This window comes from Homo sapiens, chromosome 4, assembly GCF_000001405.40.
Source record: "Homo sapiens chromosome 4, GRCh38.p14 Primary Assembly".
NCBI classification, from domain to species: Eukaryota; Metazoa; Chordata; class Mammalia; order Primates; family Hominidae; genus Homo; species Homo sapiens.
The window spans coordinates 150,843,790-150,868,463 of record NC_000004.12 but is presented as its reverse complement, the minus strand read 5'-3'; the positions used below and the strand labels follow the sequence as shown (position 1 = coordinate 150,868,463).

At 35.5% G+C, this 24,674-nt stretch overlaps 1 protein-coding gene across 9 annotated transcripts in view; it reads left to right on the top strand.

Moving 5' to 3' along the window:
• LRBA (LPS responsive beige-like anchor protein) overlaps positions 1 to 24,674 on the top strand; it is a 751,293-nt gene that overhangs the window by 147,264 nt on the left and 579,355 nt on the right. For all 9 annotated transcript variants that reach the window (XM_047416462.1, NM_001367550.1, NM_006726.5 and 6 more), the window contains exons 21-28: positions 159 to 282; positions 601 to 793; positions 15,521 to 16,579; positions 17,562 to 17,740; positions 18,889 to 19,042; positions 19,466 to 19,646; positions 23,685 to 23,806; positions 24,257 to 24,364. In XM_047416462.1, coding sequence (XP_047272418.1) covers positions 159 to 282; positions 601 to 793; positions 15,521 to 16,579; positions 17,562 to 17,740; positions 18,889 to 19,042; positions 19,466 to 19,646; positions 23,685 to 23,806; positions 24,257 to 24,364 — 2,120 coding nt within the window. The remainder of the gene's footprint in view (positions 1 to 158; positions 283 to 600; positions 794 to 15,520; positions 16,580 to 17,561; positions 17,741 to 18,888; positions 19,043 to 19,465; positions 19,647 to 23,684; positions 23,807 to 24,256; positions 24,365 to 24,674) is intronic.

Sequence of the window (24,674 nt, the reverse complement as noted above, 5' to 3'; positions counted from 1 at the left end):
CATTTCTTTCCAGAGGTGATTTTTTTTAATAACAGAAGAGGATGTTTTTGGTAGACATTTGTGTTAGGGAAACTAAAGAAATTGCAATAGATGGATGACCTTCTATCATGAGTTTTTTGTTGAGTTTGGTTTTTACTTATTTATAAACTGTCTTACAGAGATACTAAAAGTAATTGCGACCCTACTTCGAAATTCTCCCCAGTGCCCAGAGAGCATGGAGGTTCGCAGAGCCTTTCTTTCTGACATGATTAAACTTTTTAATAACAGTAGAGAAAACAGGAGGTAAGCTGAATCAGAAAGCATTTATTTGCAGTATTCAAATGTACTTTTGTATAAGCCCATTTTATCTAAGAAAAATTGCTTTAAAAATACTGTGAAATGATTTTTCTATTTTTTTTATTAAGAGTATGTAAATAATGTACCACATAGTTAAGTTAGAATTTTTAGTACCACATTGTCGAATTGTTCTTAATGTATAACTAAATGTGTTTCTTTTTCGGGGGGAAAGGGAGGGGCAGGGTTATTTTGTTTTAAACCTTTAGATTTATTTTAGATAATTTTTTTTTCTTCAGTAATTTAGTACCCTCTCATAATTTTCAGGAGCTTGCTACAATGCTCTGTGTGGCAAGAATGGATGCTTTCTCTCTGCTATTTTAATCCTAAGAATTCAGATGAGCAAAAGATAACAGAAATGGTATACGCCATATTCAGAATCCTGCTTTACCATGCAGTCAAATATGAGTGGGGTGGCTGGCGTGTATGGGTAGACACTTTATCAATCACTCATTCAAAGGTAAGTTTCTTTATGAAAGCGTATTGTAGCATTTTAAATATCTATAATTTTTGAATTTTAGTCATTTAAAAAATTTCGATACTTAAAATCAAGGAAAAAAGGCAAGTTATCTTCTGAAAGTACAGCAAAATGAAAGCTCAAAAAGATTATCAATAGAAATAAAGCATTTGTAATTTCTTTAGAATCAAAATAATTTTTTCTAATGTTGTTTTTACATGTACTTATCTTTATAATGGTAAATCTATTGCCACAGCATAAAGGAATTTATACTAGGGTGCTGAAAAAGTAGTTGCGGCAAAAACTGCAATTATTTTTGCACCAACCTAATATTTTTTTTCGAGGAAGCCCTGTTTACAAACATGGGTCTCAGAATTTTATATGAGTTAAAAGCTTTTGAACACAAGGTGGCGCACTATATTCAAAGATGAACAGTTGTTTTAGCAACGTAAGGTGGATGAGTAAACAGAAAAGCTCTGGGTGATGTCTGCCCTGTGCTAATCTTACAGGTAGCTAAAAACTGGGTTTGGAAGAATGTAGTTTTTTTTTTTTTTTTTTTTTAAATTAAGCCAAAGTAAGTTTAGTTATTTATATATAGCTTAAATTCTTTTTTGAAATACTCTAAGCATACAAAAAGGATCACTGTTTATGAAATTGGGTTACTCCTCTATAATTGCTTTGTCTCCTCTTCTTCGCCTGACCCCCAACACCACTAGCTTTTATTTGGTGTTGTCTTTTGTCTTTTCTATACCTTTACTACGTGTATATAACTCTAAACAATAAAGAGTTTTATTTTTTATGTTTGCACTTAAGGTAAATGTGGCATACTGAATGCATTTTTTTGTTAATTACTGTTTGTGCTTATTACTGTTTGAGATTCATCCACATTGACCCATATAGTTTTGTTCATTTTCTCAATTGTAATGTATTGCATGACATGACTATTTATTTACCAATTAATTAGCATTTTCGTATACATTTTGTGCTTGTTCAAGAATTTTCTGCATATATTCCTAGAAGTAGAATTGCTGACTTATAAGGTGAAAATGTTGAACTTTACAAGATAATGCAAATTCTTTTCCAAAGTATCGTATTCCAATACAATACAGTATTCTAAAGTAGTGTATCAGTTTACATATCACCAGCAGTGTTTAAGTTCTCATTGCTTCACATCACCTAATCACGTGGTATGGCTGGAGTTTAAAAATTTGTCACTTTGATGAATTTAAAATGCTACATCACCATAATCTTGATCTGTGTTTTCTTGTTGTTTTGTGGGAGTTCTTTATGTAGTCTCATTCTTAATCCTTTGCTAGCTATGTTGTTTATGAACATCTTCTGCCAATATGTGGATTATCTAACTATTTTTGGAGTTTTATGTTTGTACCTTCTGAGGAAAATTTACATTTCAAGTAATTAATGCATTAAAATCTATTAGTTTCATTTACGGTGTATGTTTTTTGAATTTTAAGAACTTTTTCATTACTCAGAAGGAATACTGTATAATTATATAGCTATTTATTTAATAAAAAATTGACTAGAAGGAATAAATACCAAGAATGATAATTTCTCTATATCTTTAAGTGTTACATTTTACTGACTATCAAAGTTATTATTCTAAGATATTTTGTCATTCTGTAGAATATATTGCCATTTCTGGCCAGGTGTGGTGGCTCACGCCTGTAATCCCAGCACTTTGGGAGGCCAAGGCGGGTGGATCACCTGAGGTCAAAAGTTGGAGACTAGCCTGGCCAACATGGTGAAACGCCATCTCTACTAAAAATACAAACATTAGCCAGGCGTGGTGGCGTGCACCTGTAATCCCAGCTACTTGGGGGGCCGAGGCAGGAGAATTGCTTGAACCTGGGAGGCAGAGGTTGCAGTGAGCAGAGATAGAGCCATTGTACTCTAGCCTGGTGAGACAGTGAGACTCCATCTAAAAAAAAAAAAAAAAAAGAATATATTGCCCTTTCCTAATTACATGTTTCTAGGTATTTGAATAGCTTTTAATTATTGATTGAAAGTTCCTACAAATTATTCATTGTTCCTCCTCTTTCTTCATTGAGAGAAAGTATGCTTCTACAAGGGTTTACAAGGAGTAAAATCCATTTGTAAATAAGAAAAGAGATCTGATTTTATAAAATGGCTTTGTTTTAGTCACTGTATTGTTGAGGTTGATCAGTTTTGTTTAAAACAGAATTCAGCTAGCCATGGCCTAAGTGTCAGATCTAAATAAAATTGTGCTAGAATGTATCCACTACCATTCCTTTATATATTGTATATGGCTACTTTCACACTATAAGGATAATCATACATGTTACATCAACGACATGGCCCCTAAAATCTAAAATATTTACTATTTGGCTCATTACAGGAACTGTTTGCCATCCTTTCTGTAACTTTAGTTTGTGCTGATGCCCAGATATTCTCATTTCTATTGCAGTAGGCTGCTGCAATCTAGACTGATTTTTTTTCTCATACTATGTTGCCATTTACAAAAGATTATAAGAAAAATAGGGTTGACTTTGTGCCCCATATACATCTGGAGTAGATTTCAGAGATTTCTAGGGGAGATTATAGGTTAGGGAAGTGCCCAGTATAAAGCAGATTTTTCACGTTTCTAACAGATCTATGTCAGTTCACCTTAGTTTCTTCAAGTCCTTAGGAAAGATGGCTGGAGGAGTATAAACTTTAAAGCAATCGTTGTTAAAAGTATAACCTAAAGACCTTGGGAGGGAGGCCAGGCACGATGGCACATGCATGTAATCACAGGCTGAGGCGGCTGGATCACTTGAGGTCAGGAGTTCAGGACCAGCCTGGCCAACATGGTGAAACCCCATCTCTGCTAAAAATACAAAAATTAGCTGGGCACGGTGGTGCATGCCTGTAATCCCAGGTACTTGGGAGACTGAGGCAGGAGAATTGCCTGAACCCAGGAGGCAGAGGTTGCATTGAGCCAAGATCATACCACTATACTCCAGCCTGGGTGACAGAGTGAGACTCTGTCTCAAAAAAAAAAAAAAAAAAAAGAACGTGGGCCCATGAGAGCTTTTCATGGGGTCTGTGCAGTCCTCCTTTCCTACTGCATAGCTGTATGAGGGTGGATTTTCTTTATATACTTCAGCCAAACCAATATATGCAACAGATTGAATGCAAAAGCAAATATGAGAATGCAGTTGTCTTCTATGAAGCCAAACTTTAAAGAGATTGACAAAAATATGAAATAATGGCACTCTTCTTGTTATTGTTTGGTTTTGAAAAATAATCATTTTCAAAAAATGTTATTTATATTATATATTGAGTTTATTATTTTTAAGTGGGTTAATAGTTCTAAAAGGTCTCAGTTTTAATTCCTAATATAATAAGCAGTAGTAGATATAATCCACATAGATAAAGAGTCTTTGGGGACCTTAATACTTTTTAAGAATGTAAAGTGTTGCCCGGGCACGGTGGCTCACGCCTGTAATCCCAGCACTTTGGGAGGTTGAGGTGGGTGGATCATGAGGCCAAGAGATTGAGATCATCCTGGCCAACATGGTGAAACCCTGTCTCTACTAAAAATACAAAAATTAGCTGGGCGTGGTGGTGAGTGCCTGTAGTCCCAGCTACTTGTGAGGGTGAGACAGAAGAATCGCTTGAACCCAGGAGGTGGAGTTGCAGTGAGCCGAGATCGTACCACTGCACTCCAGCCTGCAACAGAGCGAGACTCTGTCTCAAAAAATAAAATAAATAAATAAATAAATAAAGTGTCATGAGACCAAAAAGTTTGAGAACTGCTATCTTAGAAAATAATAGGATATTTAGGATGAATAGATTAGTCTTTTTGAGTTCCCTATATACAAAATAAAGGAGTTGGATTAGGTGATATCTCAGGTGTTTTGAGCTTGTGAGCATTTATGACTAAGTATTTATATCCAGTTTTCAAATCCGTTTGTGTAAGTAATGAAAGAATGTGGACTTTGGAGACAGGGTGTGAATCCTGATTTATAGTAATTATTAGCTGTGTAAGCTCAGGAAAAAGAGTCTCCCTGTCACCCAGGCTAGAGTGCAGTGGCGCAATCTTGGCTCACTGTAAACTCCGCCTCCCAGGCTCAAATGATTGTTATGCCTCAGCCTCCCGAGTATCTGGGATTACAGTTGCCTGCCACTGCAACTGGCTAATTTTTGTATTTTTAGTAGAGACGGTGTTTCGCCATATTGGCCAGGCTGGTCTCGAACTCCTGACCTCAGGTGATCTGCCTGACTCAGCCTCCCAAAGTGCTGGGATTACAGGGGTGAGCCACCGGGACTGGCTTGTGTCTTAGTTTCTAACAAAAAAGTTTGAAAAATATATAATTTTAAAAAGAGAAAAAAGCTTTTAGAATAAGGATATAGAGAAAGGAAAAAAAATATTTTTTGAGACAGGTGAAGTGTAGTGGTGTGCTCATAGCTCACTGCAACTTCAAACTCCTGGGCTCAAGTGATCCTCTCACCTCAACCTCCTGAGTAGCTGGGACTACAGACTTGTGCTACCACACCTGGCTACTTTTTTAGTTTTTTTGTAGAGACGAGGTCTTACTGTGTTGCTCAGGCTGGTCTTCAACTCCTGGACTCAAGTGGCCCCCCGCCTGGGCCTCTGAAAGTGCTGGGATTATAAGCATGAGCCACACACCCGGTTAGAATGTGTGTGTGTGTGTGTGTGTGTCTTTTTTAAATGAGACAGAGTCTTGCTCTGTCACCCTGGCTGGAATGCAGTGGTGCAATCTTGGCTCACTGAAACCTCCACCTCCTGGGTTCAAGCGATTCTCCTGCCTCAGCCTGGCGAGTAGCTGGGACAACAGGTGTGCACCTCCACACTCAGCTAATTTTTTTGTATTTTTAGTAGAGACAGGGTTTCACCACGTTGCCCAGGCTAGTCTTGAATTCCGGAGCTCAGGGGATCCACCCACCTCCACCTCCTAAAGTGTTAGGATTACAGGCGTGCGTGACTGCACCTGGACTTTTTTTTTTTTTTTTAAATTATACTTTAAGTTCTAGGGTACATGTACACAACGTGCAGGTTTGTTACATATGTATACCTGTGCCATGTTGGTGTGCTGCACCCATTAACTTGTCATTTACATTAGGTATATCTCCTAATGCTACCCTTCCCTCTCCCCCACCCCATGACAGGCCCCAGTGTGTGATGTTCCCTTTCCTGTGTCCAAGTGTTCTCATTGTTCAATTCCCACCTATGAGTGAGAACATGCAGTGTTTGGTTTTCTGTCCTTGTGATAGTTTGCTGAGAATGATGGTTTCCAGTTTCATCCATGTCCCTACAAAGGACATGAACTCATCCTTTTTTATGGCTGCATAGTATTCCATGGTGTGCATGTGCCACATTTTCTTAATCCAGTCTATCATTGTTGGACATTTGGGTTGGCTGCAAGTGTTTGCTATTGTGAATAGTGCTGCAATAAACATACGTGTGCATGTGCTTTATAACAGCATGATTTATAATCCTTTGGGTATATACCCAGTAATGGGATGGCTGGGTCAAATGGTATTTCTAGTTCTAGAACCTTGAGGAATTGCCACACTGTCTTCCACAATGGTTGAACTAGTTTACAGTCCCACCAACAGTGTAAAAGTGTTCCTATTTCTCCACATCCTCTCCAGTACCTGTTGTTTCCTTATTTTTTAATGATCACCATTCTAACTTTTTTTTTTTTTTGGAGTCAGAGTCTTGCTCTGTTGCCCAGGCTGGAGTGCAGTGGTGTAATCTTGGCCCACTGCAACCTCCACCTCCCAGGTTCAAGCAATTCTCATGCCTCAGCCTCCCAAGTAGCTGGGATTACAGTTGTGAGCCACTGTGCCTGTCAGAAAATATCTTTTTACAACTGTACAATGTGTTTGTGTTTTAAGCTAAATTTGATTTCAAAAGAGTCAAAAAGTTTTAAAAATTAAAATGTTTAAAAAGTTAAAATGTTACAGTAAGCTGAGGTTAATTTCTTATTGAACAAAGAAAAGTAGTTTTTAAAAATAAATTTAGTGTAGCCTATATTTACAGTGTTTATAAAGTCTTCTGTAGTGTACTAGACCTGCACATTTACTCACCACTTACTCACTGATTGACCCAGGGCAACTTCTAGTTTTATAAGCTCCATTCATGGTAAATGCCTTATGTAGGTACCATTTTAAATCTTTTATATTGGATTTTTACTATACCTTTTCTATGTTTATATTTGTTTAGATACACATTTCTAAACCTTACGTACACACAATATAAGGGCTGGGAATGGTGGCTCACACCTCTAATCCCAGCACTTTGGGAGGCCAAGTCTGAAAGATGGCTTGAGGCCAGGAATTTGAGACCAGCCTGGGCAACATAGTGAGTCTCAATCTACACACACACACACACACACACACACACACACACACACACCATTAGCTGGGATGGTGGCATGCACCTGTATTTCTAGCTACTCAGGAGGCTGAGGTGGGAGGATCACTTGAGCCCAGGAGTTTGAAGTAACGTAACAGTGAACTATGATTGTGCCACTGGACTCCAGCCTGGGTCACAGAGCGAGACTCAGTCTTTTGTTAAAACAAAAATTAAAACATTAAAAAAAATAGATAACACAAATACATATATTGTGTTACAGTTGTCTGCAGTCTTCTGTACAGTAATAAGCTATACAGGTTTGTAGCCTAGGAGTAATAAGCTATACCATAGAGTCTAGGTATATAGTAGGTGATACAATCTAGGTTTGCTTAAGTACACTCTATGGTGTTCACATGATGAAATTGCTTAATGATGCATTTCTCAGAACATATCTTCATGATTAAGTGATGCATGACTATAGTTTTGTTTAGTTTATATATTTCTTTTTTTTTTTTGAGACGGAGTCTCGCTCTGTCGCCCTGTGGCACGATCTTGGCTCACTGCAAGCTCTGCCTCCTGGGTTCACGCCATTCTTCTGCCTCAGCCTCCCTGAGTAGCTGGGACTACAGGCGCCTGCCACCATGCCTGGCTAATTTTTTGTATTTTTAGTAGAGAAGAGGTTTCACCATGTTAGCCAGGATGGTCTCGATCTCCTGACCTCGTGATCCACGCGCCTCAGCCTCCCAAAATGCTGGGATTACAGGTGTGAACCACCGCGCCCGGCCTATATGTTTCTTTAGTCCAGTGACTTATGGCTTTAAACAGATCTTAAAATTTTTCTGAAGAAAATAGTTGCTTTAAGGAGAGGTCTCTAGTGCCTACTTTTGACCAAGAACCACACTGACTTAAGTTTTAGTATTCATTTATAAGATGGGATAATGCTAAGTTAATCATGGAGTCTTTTTATCTGAGTAAAACTAGACCTACCACTTTTTGCTGTCAAAGTATACTTTTAAAAATACATGCTAAAACATTACTTATGAGAGGGAAAACAAAAGTTTAAAGTTGTAAGTTGGTTCTTACATTTGTTCACCTTTTATTTTAGTGTTTCATACATGTCTTTTATTCCTTCGTGTGGATTTTCTTCATTTTTAAAAGGCTTTTCTGTTTCATGAGGCTTATACAAAGTAATTTATTTGAATGCTGTTAAGTTTTTTGGAATTTTAAATCTTTATAGCTATTTTTAAAATAAGACAGAAACTTATACCCTAAGGCTCTTCAAGTCATTATTTAATAAAGCTTAGAATAGAGCTGTAGTGATTCAGTAAGTAGGTGAACAATTTTTAGCAGCTATTAAAAATTCCACTGGAATTATTGGAACAAAATTTTCTTTTCTCTAAAAATATAAGTTCTGAAGATTTTATAATACTTTTATACATACAGTGTTAAAGTGATGCTTTTTCCTTTTTGCAGTCATTTTGAATCTCAATATCCCAAATTTATAACATGGTTCTTGATAAAGAACTGATGTGTAAAGAACTAATGTTGCAGAATTGGATAGCTTTTGCAGAGTTACATCAGGATACATGCTGCTGCTATAAAAAGCCAAAGAAACTCAATTGCAGTTTTATTGTCCAGTTTGATAGATTTCCTGCCACCTTTGTAGCAGGGAAGCTGTTTGTCACTATATGCCTCTCCTCCAGCAGCTGAACTGGGTTTTATAAGCAGTAATAGGCTCTTCTAGTATAACTGCACTATGTTGGTTACTTTGATCTCAGGGTTTTAAAGAGTGCACCTAGTAACGTTTGTGATTTCATTGTCTTATTTGTTGTCTAGGTTTTCATTTTTTTTTGTTTGTTTTTGGCTTCAAATTGAACATTTTTCTGTGCTTAAGTAATACTTTTTTTCACTTGGTATGATAAAATGCTTTTACTCATTAATTAAAATTTAAATTAAGGCATTTAAACTATTCTGAATTATGAGAATTTTGTAAACACATTCTTTTCTAAACACATAAAACTAACACCTTAGATACTGTATTTTGTCTAGACTCATATTGCCATAAGTTAGAATGGGTTTATGACTTAAAATGAATAAAGATTAGTCATGTTAGAGTTAAAAGTATAATATGAATTGGATTTCCTCCTAAATAGTGAATTTGAGGATAAAGTCCTTAATTATCTTGGATTTTTTGAAATATCTGAAGATTTTACTTGCTGTTTACTGATGAAATATCTGAAGTATAAATTTCAGTCACTGTACATAAGAAATGAAATATCTGAAGTATACATTTCAGTCACTGTACATAAGAAAAAACTACCATTTAGATTGGGTAAAAGCATGTGGAAATAAGATTTTTTTTTAAAGAATTCTCTAATTGGTTTATTAAAATTATTTTTTAAATCATAAGATATGAACTGGCATATACAAAAATGTATATGTGTTTATGGTGGCTGTATGATAAGATTAAAAGCGACTTGTTTGAAGAAATTTCAAAAGTTACAAAATTGGCTGGACATGGTGGCTCATGCCTCCCAGCACTTTGGGAGGCTGAGGCAGGTGGATCACTTGAGGCCAGAGTTTGAGACCAGCCTGGTCAACGTGGTGAAACCCTGTCTCTACTAAAAATACAAAAATTAGCCAGGAGTGGTGGTGCATGCCTGTGGTCCCAGCTACTGGGGACTAAGGCATGAAAATCACTTGAATACGGGATGCTGAAGCTGCAGTGAGCTGAGATTGTGCCACTGCACTTCAGTCTGGGTGATGAAAGGAGATATCTCACAAAAATTACAAAAATAAAAAAGTTACAAAATGTCCGCATTTCATGGATTATCAGCACTTTGCACCTTATTTAATTGCTAAATAATTCTTTAAAAATACCTGATTTCTGTGTGAGTGTTTGTGTGTGTGTTTTTATCAAATTTAAATGGCACTTAAAAAAAAAAAAGAAAAAGAGAGAGAGACAGACTGTTGCTGTGCTTCCCAGGCTAGAGTGCGGTGGTTCTTTACAGGTGCCATTATATATAACACACTACAGCTTCATACTCCTTGGCTCAAGTGATCCTCTCCCTTCAGCCTCTCCAGTAGCTGGGACTGCAGGCATGTACCTTTGTTCCTGGCTAAAAGTATTCTTAGCTTTAACATTTTGAAACCAAATAGCATTTATTACTTTAAAAAATTTAAAATAATAATAAGTTTTCATTACAGGAAATCTTGAACCCAGCAGAAATGCATACACACAGAAAACAAAAATTATCCATTATCCAAACACCTATGTATAACTTATTAACATTTTAGTGCGAGACCTTTTAGTCTTCTCTTCTATACATGAATCTATACATAACATATAATTATTTGCTAACAAAATGTGATCGTATTTTTACTATTTTAGAGTATTATTTAATGATATGCTTCTTACATGAATTTTAATGCCTGCATATTATATGACATTATGGAGAAGTAAAGAGCATAAGATTCAGCTTTGATATAACATTTGAATGTTATCAGACCACTTAAAATTCTAGGAAGGAGTGACCGTGTAAATGATTCAAGTTTTCTTTTTATATTCTGGCATTCTCCAAAATTGTATTTAGAAAAATTGATGGAAGAGAGATTTAAAAAATCTATTGATTTATATTATAATCATACTTTATCTGTTCCTTATCATTGACCAATGATGAGCCTGGTTCAATACTGTAACCCTTATTTTGTAGGATAAATTCCTGTAAGTGGAATTTCCAGAGGAAGGAGTCTGTACATGTTTTAAAAAGTTTTTAGTAGATATTGCTAAATTGCCCTCTAAAAATTTGTACCAGTTTATACGCTAGATTTGCATGAAAGCATCTGTTTAGACTGTTTTTAAGAAATTAAAATTGATCAAAATGACTGTTTTAAAAATGAAAAGATTAGAAGTTATTTGCTGCAATATTCTTTTGTCAGTGTTCTTCCTATCTTTATAAATGGGGATTGTACTACCAACCTTTAGAATTGCTCTTAATTATGTCAGTAATGCTTGATTTTACCATTATATCTGTTACCTATACCATTGTTATACATCAGAGTCTTTATAAAAGATCTCATTAATGTGGTGGCAATCATTTTGACTTATGCTCATTGATAATACATATGGGAAGATCCACCTGTTTTTAAAGATATATCTTATTTATCAAAGGTTGGTAACTTAATCAGAAGTTAACATCATATTTAGCTGGTATTTTCATATGAAAACAGACACTGAAAAAGATGCCTTTGCTTAAAAACAAAGTCAGTTGCTAAACATTGCCTAACAGTTTAAAATGTCTAAATTTTACAGGTTATACGGTTTTAATGTATAGATTAAAAAGATAATATTAACATCTGGATGTATTGTGTTTATCTTTTATCTACTAATTAGTAAATTTGAGTGCCAATTAAGTTGAAAATAATGGCAAAAGAAATGTTATAGTCATTAGCTCACAAGTATCTTTAACTAGTAGTTTATAGAAGTGCTTTCCAAACATTACAAACAGCTATAGATTAGCTATCAAATGATTGTGAAGATTAATGACTAGTCTTTTAGCTGGGTAATTTAGAACAATATCTGGCAATTAATTGGAAATTATCAGTTTTAAAGTCACAAATATCTTAAGGAAAACAGCATCCAAAAAGATAATACTGATAGTTGTTCAATTGCAATTTAGCTTTTAGACCATTGGATGAATTAAATTAAGGGCAAATTTAAAAACCAAATGACTTTAGAATTTTAAAAGCATTTCAGATTCTGAAGGTAAATGCTTTTCTATCTGTGGTTTTATACTCTGACTATTAATCAAGTATGAAGCGAGAATAAATACCTTTTCAGGATTTGAGATCTCAAAACATTTATATACATCCTTTCTTAAGAAGGCACTGCAGGATATTGCACAAAAGGAGAGAATAATACAAAGAGGAAGAAATGAAATATAAGAAACAAGAGACAACATAGAAGAGAGATGAAGGGGATCTCCAGGACTGTAGAAAGGGAGATCCCAATAGCAGCTATGTAGTAGGCAGATGACAGTCCATCTGGACTGGAGCAGTTTCACTCAGGAGAGGTGGACCTGTATTCTTATTAGGAGTACTTAGCTTGCTTGCCTTCATCATGTGCTGATTAAATTCCTGTTTTCCTGTCTAATGTGAATCACCTGAAGATTCTCACTTCACTCCACAAAGACATGCTGTGCTTCGACCTACTTCTTAGGGTAGAGGTTCACCATGGTGAGCTTAGAATTGAAAAATATAAAGTATTTCATGCCAATACACTCTACCTGGCACACACTGCCTCTGATAGGTTCTCCAGTTCTCTTGACCTCTATATTTCCTGTATTTCCTAATGACTTGCCTATAAGACTTCCCAGAAATGGCTTTACATATTCTCTCAAATAAGCTGAAGCCCTGCTGCAACTCACAGATTCTGTGTATCTTGTCTTTTCTTGGGAGCTCAGGTGTGGCAGTATTGCTCTTTAAAATACAATTGGCTAGGTTTGTGTTAGACTTAGTTTTTTAAACTAAACATAATGGGTATGTTTAGTATATAGATAGTAAAACTATCTTTTAAAATTATCTCCCAAAGCTCTGACCTCCAGGTAAAACTATTTATAAACAGTGAACGATAGAAATACCAGGATAGTGATTTTTTTCTGATTGTAGTGGAGAAATAGGGAGTACAGTTTGGGCAGGGCACATAGGGGAATTGTGAGGTACTGGTAACGTTTTACTTCTTGACATGGGTGGTAGGCATGTGAGATTAAAAAAAATTGTTTCTTAACCTGTACATATAAATTACATATACTCATGTTTATTGATCCATTGTATAATACAAATTCTAAAAACCTTTAATATAAATAAAATCAAAGCAAATGATTATTGAAAACTAAAGTCATTCTATAACACAGGCTATTGTAGAAATAAATGGCCTATTTTCAAAATGACTGTGAGGTTGGTAATATGTAACTTGCTTTCTTTTGACAATGATAATTGTTTGTTGGTGGAGAAATGCTCTCTCTAAAGTCAGTTTTCCAAAAAGTAGGCTAACCAGTCTTATTTTTTTGGAGACAGAGTCTCACTCTGTCACCCAGGGTGGAGTGCAGTGGTGCTATTTTGGCTCACTGCAACCTCTGCCTCCTGGGTTGGGTTCAAGCAATTTTCCTGCCTCAGCTTCCTGAGTAGCTGGGATTACAGGTGTGTGCCACCATGCCCAGCTAATGTTTGTGTTTTTAGTAGAGACAATGTTTCACCATGTTGGCCAGGCTGATCTCAAACTCCTGACCTCAGGTGATCTGCCCACCTTGGACTCCTAAAGTGCTGGGATTACAGGCGTGAGCCACCGTGCCCAGCCACTGATCTTTTAAAAAGGGAAATCAGATTGTCTTCCCTACACTCTTAATTCTCAAATGGCTCTCTCAGAATAAAATACAGTCTTTAATACAGTCTATAATGTTCTACAATCATAATCTAGCTCGTGGCCACATCTTTGACCTCATTTTCTTTAGTTCTCAGTTTATTGCTTTATTGTTATTCATCATACATACCAAGCTTATTTCAGCTCCAAGGCCTTTGCATTTGTTCTTCTCTGCCTGAAACTCTTTTCTTTTTACATGGCTTGCTCTCTCTTTTATTCTTGCCTTTGTTCAAATAGAACAGAGAGGCCTACTGCAGTTACACTAGTAAATACACCTTCTCGCCTAGACTTTCAGAACAGTTCTTCACTCTGTACTTCCCCCTCCCTTCAAAGCTCTTATTACTATTTGACATTATCTTACATATTCGTGTGTTTATTTTCTGACACCTTCTTTAGAATATAAGCTCCATGAAGTCAGGAACAATGTGTTCATCACACAATGCCTGGCCTGCTACCGATGTTCAGTAAATTTTTGTTGAATGAATATGAGGAATTGGTCAATTAAAATACAGAACCCATGTCAAATAAAATATTGGCATTGTGAATGTAAAAGAAATTGATATTTTGTTAATGTGATTATGTCATTTTACTGTTTAGTGAGGAATACATGCATTTATTGTTGAAATATTATAAAAAGATTTCTAAGTTTTAGAATTAAGAACATAGTTACAATGTGGAAATAGTTACAATTAGGAAAAATACAAATATTCACAGGAAAATATTCATTCCCTGAACATTTTTATTTTTAGGTATATCACATGGCATGAATGTTCTGTATATGTCATGAGTAAAGGCGAGTTAATGTCGATAGAAGGAAATTTTTGCATTGAGAGTCATTTTTACTTTTGTTTGCTTTTCATCTGTGTGTATACTCTTGTGATTCAATAAGGCCTATTGATTTTTGTGGATAAAAAAATCAGCTTTTCTTCCTTGATTGTCCTATCATCCTCTTATACTATGGCTCAATAAAGATTTATTGAATGAATGTTCAGTTTACTCTATATAATAATGTAGATTACAGAAACAAACACTTTTGGGATTAATAAACTATAATTAGGCTAATACTTTCTGCATGTGTTATAGGTTTTTCTGGCATTTTTGTTGCAAGGGGTGATGGGGGTTACCATTGAAACACCAATGGAAATCATATGATGGTGGCTATAAGATAATCCTTAGATTTTAAAAATTCTAAATCTTGTGACATTAACAAGTACAGCACTCTCTTTAAAAAAAAATTTACTTTTTCAGTTTTTTCCCATTTGGGTAAAAGGCAAAGCATGATATAGGAATGTTCACGGTGCCTAATATATTGTAGTCACTCAGATATAAATGGAATGAATGGATGTATGGATGGATCAACTGAAACATTCAGACTATTTTCGACCAGTTCAAACTTTGGAAATTATGGTTAACCTTTGGGGGAAGGGCTGGATCTTTTTTCTCCCATTGCTAAAAGAATTTGTATTCATTGGCTTAGTGAGATAATGGTTTTGTAGCTTAATAGATATCTGTAGAGCTACTGTAATGGTGAGCATAATTAATTGATATTTTTAATCTCTCCTGCGGACAAGTCCTGGGGAAATTGGTATTCATAGCGGTTGAAACAAGTGTTATCCAGTGCATAAAGCACTTCCCAATGGTACATACTTAAATTCTGGTACAAGTTATGGTGGCCAGTAGAATAGTGTATCCTTTTCCTATACATGTTTAATAATAGGCTAAATAATTATGTTCTTCTTGTGGTTTCATGCTGTGTTACTTGTTAACATTAAAATTGGCTGTAGTTTTTAATGAATATTTAGATTTCTGTGATTGACTTACATTTATCATTCTACTAAAATAAAATATAGGAAAATTAAGTTTTATTGTATTATATAAACTATGTATTTGAAAATTATTTAGTTTTATATTTTGTATTCTGTCTTCATTTCTCATGCATATTTTAACTGATTGTACATTTTTCACCTAGGTCACTTTTGAAATACACAAAGAAAACCTTGCCAATATATTTAGGGAACAGCAAGGAAAAGTTGATGAAGAAATAGGGCTGTGTTCTTCAACTTCAGTTCAAGCAGCCTCTGGCATTAGAAGGGATATTAATGTTTCAGTAGGATCCCAGCAACCAGATACGAAGGATTCTCCTGTCTGTCCTCATTTCACCACAAATGGTAATGAAAATTCAAGTATAGAGAAGACAAGTTCACTAGAATCTGCATCTAATATTGAACTGCAAACTACTAATACATCTTATGAAGAAATGAAAGCTGAGCAAGAAAATCAGGAGTTACCAGATGAAGGCACTTTGGAAGAAACACTGACAAATGAGACAAGGAATGCAGATGATTTAGAAGTATCTTCTGACATAATAGAAGCTGTGGCTATTTCCTCTAATTCTTTTATAACAACTGGCAAAGATTCAATGACTGTCAGTGAAGTAACTGCTTCTATAAGTTCTCCTTCAGAAGAGGATGCCTCAGAGATGCCAGAATTCTTGGATAAATCTATAGTAGAGGAAGAGGAAGATGATGATTATGTGGAACTGAAAGTAGAAGGCAGTCCTACTGAGGAAGCTAATCTACCCACAGAGCTCCAAGATAACAGTTTGTCTCCAGCTGCATCTGAAGCCGGTGAAAAACTGGACATGTTTGGTAATGATGACAAATTAATATTTCAAGAAGGAAAACCTGTTACTGAAAAGCAAACTGATACTGAAACTCAAGATTCTAAAGATTCTGGAATTCAGACTATGACAGCATCAGGGTCTTCAGCTATGTCACCAGAAACTACTGTTTCCCAAATAGCTGTAGAATCAGACCTTGGTCAGATGCTGGAGGAAGGGAAGAAAGCAACTAACCTCACTAGAGAAACCAAATTAATTAATGATTGTCATGGTAGTGTCTCTGAGGCTTCTTCTGAGCAAAAGATTGCGAAGTTGGATGTTTCCAATGTTGCTACAGATACTGAGAGGCTGGAGTTGAAGGCCAGTCCCAACGTGGAAGCACCTCAACCTCATCGACATGTGCTTGAGGTGATTTTATATATTGTCTTATTCAAGTACTTTTGCACTGAGTTAAAAAAGAGCAAGTGTATATACTTAAATTTTATTTTATTTTGAATTTGGTTCACATGCTATTCACAACTAAATAAATGCAATGAATGTGAAGATTGTATTTCAGATCATTAGCACAGTGTTTGGCAGTTAATGTGAGTTCATTAAATGACAGTTTTTATTACTATTTTTACCATAGTATCACCAGAAGTTACCACTTTGAAGGATTGGTATAATTTTAGTTTATAAAACAAATATTGGAAACACTTGCATTTTACCTTTTATTTGACTAACCCAATCCTAGTACATTAGTTTTCCAACAAACTCTAGGGCTACCTACCTGCCAGTGTATAATTTTAGTTACTAAGCATGTGATTTAAAATTGTATTATGAAGTCTATAAGAGAGAGGAGGCTTTGTGAGATCTAGAGGCACAGCCTTCTCCTCTGTCCATATCTCAGAGTGACCCATGAGACAGTGCTTGGTAGCATGTTGTCATTTTCCACTTTATTCAATTCTTATCCTCTGTCCCACCCTCCTTTTTTTTGTTTTTGTTGGTTGGTTCTTCATTATGTTATCTCTGTTTTTATTCTTCATTCTAGCCACTTCATAATCCAAATGCCACTTAGATTCTAAATACTGCCTTTCTTTTAGGCTAAGGCTAAAAACTAAGAACTGTTACTTGATTCTTTTATAAAATGCTACATAGTGGTAATACTTAACATGGTTCCAAGTTAATTACTTTTAAATTGTGGTAGTTTTGCACTTTTGATAGCTTTGCTTACATGTACTAAAATGTTAATGTTATTACTCATTGATAATTTTTCTTTCTCTAATTTGGTTCTTATAGTGTCTTAAAAACGTGTTAGATGAATTGCATAGAAGCTACTAAATTATTTACTTTGCTAAAGCCTCCTGCTGAAGTTGAACCTATTTTATTACTTTTTAAATTTCTGTATTAGATATCAAGGCAACATGAGCAGCCAGGGCAAGGAATAGCACCAGATGCAGTTAATGGACAAAGGAGGGATTCCAGATCTACTGTGTTTCGTATTCCTGAGTTCAACTGGTCTCAGATGCATCAACGTTTGCTCACTGATCTATTATTTTCAATAGAAACAGATATACAGATGTGGAGAAGGTTTGTCTATATGTTTATTATGGAAGATGTGTATAAACCTAGTCTTTATTTTCAAAGAAATCCATAGAAACAGTTTGTAATTAATTTCAGACATTTGGTTAAAAAGTAGAATAGAAATTATTCTATGGTAGGGTTTTACTGAATTCACTTTTATTCTCCATTATAAGAATGGAATCCTTATCTGGATTACAAAAATGTGAAAAGCAGAGGTTTCTCTTTTAAAAAAATTTGTAGTAGATTTCCTGTAGCAATTTTATGGCACGGAATTCACCAGAAGGTAGGTTTATCAAGTTGGTTTATTACTAGAAGTATTAAAAAATAATTGGTATAGGCCGGGCGCAGTTGCTCAAGCCTGTAATCCCAGCACTTTGGGAGGCCGATGCAGGCGGATCATAAGGTCAGGAGGTCGAGACCATCCTGGCTAACACGGTGAAACCCTGTCTCTACTAAAAATACAAAAAAATTAGCTGGGAGTGGTGGCGGGCGTCTGTAGTCCCAGCTACTCAGGAGGCTGAGGTAGGAGAATGGTGTGAACCCGGGAGGTGGCGCTTGCAGTGAGCTGAGACCACGCCACTGCACTCCGGCCTGGGCGACAGAGCGAGACTCTGTCTCAAAAAAAAAAAAAAAATTGTTATAACATTATCAATATTTCCAATGTATTTTTAGCATTAAAAAAAATCTGTGTACTTCAAGTTATCCCCCATTGTATGATTTATGATTTTAAAGTGACCTAATTTATTTTTTTTTATTTGTGTAAGATTCTTGTTATGTTTAAAAGCATTTTATAGGCATTACAGAAGAAAATTCATTTTTAATAGCACATTTACCAGTATTTACCTCCTAATTTTTGTCACATGATTTCTTAGTTTTGTTCCCAGTAAGGATAATTTTCTTCAACTTTTTATATCCAGTGTAAAATGAATAGTATTTATGTTTCAGCACTGAAGGAGGGCATGGATAGTAACTACTGATATGGAATGGTCTGTTTCTTCTGAAGAAGTATACACCCTCCAAATGCCTGCTGCATCATCTTCCTTCAGTTTTCAAGATGAAGCAAAAGCACCTTCTTATCTTTCCTCCCCTCAAGTAGGCAAACTGTGATTTCCTTTCTTTAGCTTTATCAGTAAATATCATTTATCTTTGGACAGCCATTCAACAAAGACAGTTATGGACTTCGTGAATAGCAGTGATAATGTCATCTTTGTACACAACACAATTCATCTCATCTCTCAAGTGATGGACAATATGGTCATGGCTTGTGGGGGTATACTGCCATTGCTTTCAGCTGCTACATCGGCTACAGTAAGGACTTAATTACTATAGAAAATTGGTGTGAAAACATGAGTGTTATGCAACTTTATTGACTAAAACTTAAATGTGGTGGTTACTATGCATCGTAGGTGCTATAAATAAAAAACAATAGGATCTTTTACTTGAGAGGACCTTAGAATCTGTTCTAGTAATGAAAGAACTTAAAAGAATGTTGATTCCCTAAGTATGAGTCAGCTAGTGAAGAATGTGGTTCATGATGTTTCACCTGTATGGTTCTGTTGCTCCTCCTCATCCCCCACCCTTTTTAGATGAAATAATAAGTATAAATCACTCTGTGTTACTAGGTTTCTGAAAGTCTGACTACTTATGCAATTTATAAATTTTAGGACTATATCTGGTAAAATTTTTTTTTCAGAATATATATATATAAATGTCAAACTTTATTCTTTACAGCATGAACTGGAAAATATTGAACCTACTCAAGGCCTTTCAATAGAAGCCTCTGTGACATTTTTGCAGAGGCTAATTAGCCTTGTGGATGTGCTTATATTTGCAAGTTCTCTTGGCTTTACTGAAATTGAAGCTGAAAAAAGTATGTCATCTGGAGGAATTTTGCGGCAGTGTCTCCGACTAGGTGAGCTGCTAAAAACCGTTGGGAATTTACTAAAAAAAATTTTTCAGTAATTCAGAGATGACATTGAAAATTATCCGTCTTCTGTTGGTGAGAAAATATATGTTAGCTAATTTGTCATATGGTTACTTTTTTTAATGTACATAGTAGTAGTTGGTAAGTTGGATGGGCAAGAAGGAGGATGTATTTTGAAAAATTTACTAAGGTGATTTTGGTCAGGAGTTTCCACTCTCCCCTATCTTTTTTTTTTTTTTTTTTCTTTTTTCTCCCTGAAATGGTGGTTCTGCTTTCTTGCCAAGGCTGGTGTCAAAATCCTGGGCTCAAGTGATCCCGCCTCCTTATCCTTCCTAGTAGCTGGAATTAGAGGTGCTCCCCTATCTCTTTTTGCTCTAAAGTAGTGCTTCTGAAATTTTAAGGAGATACATAAACTTAAGGTGATTAAAAAACACAAGGTGATTCATAAATTTGATGATCTTGTTAAAATGCAGATTAGATTATATAGGTCTAGGCTGGGGTGGTGGCTCACACCTGTAATCCCAGCTCTTTGGGAGGCCAAAGTGGGTGGATCCCCTGAGGTCAGGAGTTCAAGACCAGCCTGGCCAACATGGTGAAACCCCGTCTTTACTAAAAATACAAAAATTAACCAGGTGTGGTGGTGCACGCTTATAATCCCAGCTACTTGGGAGGCTGAGGCAGCAGAATCGCTTGAACCTGGAAGTTGGAGATTGCAGTGAGCCAAGATCACACCACTGCACTGCAGCCTGGGCAATTGAGCGGGACTCTGTCTCAAAAAAAAAAAGGGTTATAGAGGTCTAGGGTAAGGCCTAAAATTGACTACCAAGTCCCAGGTGATGTTGATGCTGCTTTTCTTACAAACACACTGGAATAACAACGTTCTAAACTAGCATCATTCAAGTACAGCCTTTATTCAAAAAAGCTGTGGTAATTTGTTAATGCAGTTAATAAAATCATGAAATCTCTGTTCTTCTCCTGGAAACACTTCTTCCCTAAGTAAAAGTAAAAATACATGAAATGACTTTTTAATGTTAACTGGACTTCTTAGGTGAAGCAAAAAACAAAACAAAAAAACCCTTTTTTGCATAATTTTCCTTCTATATAGTTGTAAATATCGAGACTTTGTTAAATGATTTGATTATTAAGTGAAGAGAAGGTGGTGAGGAGAGAAGGCACAAGAAATGGAAGCAAACCATTAGGAGCCATGGTCATATGAAGAGATAAAGCACCTATGAAAACATAACATGGAAGTGGAAAATGTAGTTAATGACATATTTTTTCATATTTAGCAAGAATGTCTGTTACATAAACTAATGTATACCTGTGCTTTTTGCCACAAGTATAATTTTTACTCAAAATGCTATTCAAAGTATTTAATAGTATTAGTTTAAATGTAAAATTCCAAGTATTTTATATTTAATAATCAATGGTATATCTTGCTATTCTAAGTAACTTGGAATAACAATTTATAGACAGTTGTTTTAAAATTTAAGAGACATTCTAATTGTAAGCATAACAAAATAAAAGTTATCATTTATTGACTATTGTCATTTGTCATTGTTGATTTTCACGGTGACAATTTTGTTCTTTTTATTCATGAGGAAATTGAAGATAAAAGAAATTGGGAAACTTATCTATAGCTAAAAAGCTATAATTGGTGAAGGTAGAATTTGAATACTATACTTTTGTCTAACTAGTGCTCCTACTCTTTCTATTGTAGTATACTTCTTTAATCTATTAGTATTATAATTAAAATATTTAGACTTTATTGCTTTATGTGTGCCATTTTCGAAGGCTTTTCACTTTCCTAGAAAGAGTACATTTCTAGAAGTAAAAGTGCAAGGCTATACTAGCAAAGCCTTACTCAAGAATCATCAGATTCAGAGGCTAGGGAAATACTCTATGTTCCTAGTTTTTCATAGCCACGGAAAAGAATTAAGAGATAATTTAATCCACCCCAGTACCATCTGTTCTTATATATGGAAATGGGACTTAAAAAATGACTTGTCCAAGATCATTTAATAGAGTATGGTAAACAAAGTAACAGTCCAAATGTGTGATATCTTTTTTTTAAATTGTATTTGTGTAAATTTATGGGGTACAAGTGCAATTTTGTTACATACATGGATTGCTTAGTGGTGAAGTTAGAGCTTTTAGGGTATTCATCACATGAATAACACACATTGTACCATTAAATAATTTCTCATCATCAGACCCCCCTCACCCCCTCATCCTTCTGAGTTCTGAGTCTCCATTTTCTTTCTTTTTTTTTTTTTGGAGATGGAGCCTTACTCTGTCGCCAGGCTGGAGTGCAGTGGCAAGATCTGGGCTCACTGCAACCTCTTTCTTCCGGGTTCAAGCAATTGCCCTATCTCAGCCTCCTGAGTAGCTGGGACTACAGGTGTGCCCCACCACACCCGGCTAATTCTTTGCATTTTTAGTAGAGACGGGGTTTCACCATGTTGACCAGCATGGTCTCGATCTCCTGACCTTGTGATCCCCCCGCCTCGGCCTCCCAAAGTGCTGGGATTACAGATGTGAGCCCCCACCGCTGGCCTGAGTCTCCATTTTCAATCATTACGCACTCTACTTCCATGTGTACACACTATTTAGCTCCCACTTATAAGTGAGAACATACAATATTTGTCTCTCTGTGTCTGACTTGTTTCACTTAAGATAATGATCTCCAGTTCCATCTATATTGCTGCAAAAGACATGATTTCTTTCTTTTTTACGGCTGAATATTATTTCATTGCGTATATGTACCACAGTTTCTTTATCTAGTTATCTGTTGATGGACACTGGTGTCCTCATTCTTGTTTCCTGAGGTTGGAGTTAGAAGTTAGGATGACAGCAGTAAGAGTAACTGATTGAAACCAGGAAATGAGGTGTGATTTTTAACTTTGTAATACAGACTCAAATTTGATTTTATGCAACTTGTGAAAAAGTTTGTATGAAAAGTATTTCCTGGGTCTGATAGCAAATTTGATAAAGTAAAATATTTCTTGGGTCTGATAGCAAATTTGACAAAGCTGTATTCCATATTCTCTCTTCCCTCCTCTTGTTCCCTCCTTCCTTTCTTTCAACTTTTATTGCTCTCTTTGGGCACCTTTCAGAACACTTTCTTTCTAAATTCTCATGCCTGCTAGCCATGTGATAGGCCAGTGATTCTTTGTGAAGTCCCCCCTTAAGTTTGCTATTTTGTTCCTAATTTGCTCTCCCTCCTTTGCTCAGTTCAAGTACCTTGAGTGCTACAGATTTGGAGGGAATTTAGATGATTACATGGTATCAAGCAATTCATAGTGAAGGGTACATAATGTAATTCATCATTTAAAATCCAAAATTAATTTCTAAGTAATCTAACTGCCTGATTCGTGGGAGCCTTAGGTAATTTTAGACTGTATATTAATCAAATTCCCTTTCCTGTCTCCCATTTTCTAAGCAGTTTTAATGAAAGCTAGTAAATGCTGGACCCTATAAAGCTTCTTTCAAAAGCTATATCCTCTATTAGTCTCAATTAATATCATGCTGTAATGATGCAATATAAGAAGAACATCAAAGTTTCCAGTTTAACTAATTTACTTTAATGATGGTAATAGAAGATTGTTACCTCGACTAGTTCATGGTAATGTACTTTGTTCCCTGTTTTCTTCCATTTCTTTCAATTCTTTTCTTCCCTATCCTTTTCTTAACTAAAGATTGTCCCAGCTAGCTTAGTTGAGATCTAAGAAATAGTAGCCTATTGTTAAGATTCCTGAACTGATTTCCTTTCAGCAAACCCTAAACGTTTAGACCACTAGGCCATACTGCCTCCCTAAATCTTAACTGGGCCACAGCATGGAAGCTAACAATATCAGACAACCAACACTAGGCGATAAAGTCTAGGGACATTTTAGGAATAAGCTGAATGTCGTCTGTTTTGAATAAAATCTTATGTAAATCATATTGTGTAGTTGATGTTTTTCACTTCCATAATCTTAAATATTAACTTTTCTTTCCCTATCTTTTCCTTAAAATAAATTACAGTTTGTGCAGTCGCAGTAAGGAATTGCTTGGAGTGTCAACAGCATTCACAACTGAAAACTAGGGGAGATAAAGCCTTGAAACCAATGCATAGCCTTATTCCTTTAGGGAAATCTGCAGCGAAGGTAAGTATACAGATTAATTAATTTTCAAAAAGCATACTCCTATTTTACAATTAAGATTTTTATTTGTTCATTTCAACATAAAGTTAAATAAATCTGGCAGAGATTAAAATAGTTACTTTAGGCCTGCATATAACATTCAAATATTTGTGTTTAAATACACAATAAAGATTTGTTTATATTTAAACCTCTCTGCTTTTCCCAGTGTTTACTTTGATTGTTTCTGTGATGCCTTTTCCTTCAAATATGTCATTTTTTCCTGCATGCCATCTTTCTCCACCTCTCTCCCCAACCCCTCAAAGAAGAAGGAAGCATACACACAAAAAAAGTGGGGAAAGGAATGCTATAGCTTTGCTTTTCTGGTTCTGGGAATACTGTGTTTATTTTTAAAGAATATCTGTGTAATGTATATATGAATATATATATATACAATTTTTTTTTAATCTTAAATAGAGCCCAGTGGACATTGTGACTGGCGGTATATCTCCAGTAAGAGATCTTGACAGGCTTCTACAGGACATGGATATTAATCGGCTTAGGGCAGTTGTTTTCAGAGACATAGTAAGTTACAATATGTCTTTCACATACTCTCTTAACTGATGCATATTTCCTCTTAGGCCTAATGTATTGAGATTAAAAATTCTTTGTGATATCAAATAGTGGAGCAGAGATAGAAAGGTCTAGAAACGACTTCTTTTGACAATGATTTTAGAAACAGAATATTAGAAAAGATAGTTTATATAAAGCGAGCTAGCAGATCAGCATAGTGATATTAAAAGGAATAATGCATTATTACATAGTAAGCAGTCTAAGTGATATACATGTATTAATTAAGTCCAACAACTTATTGAGCTGTACTATTGTAATTTCC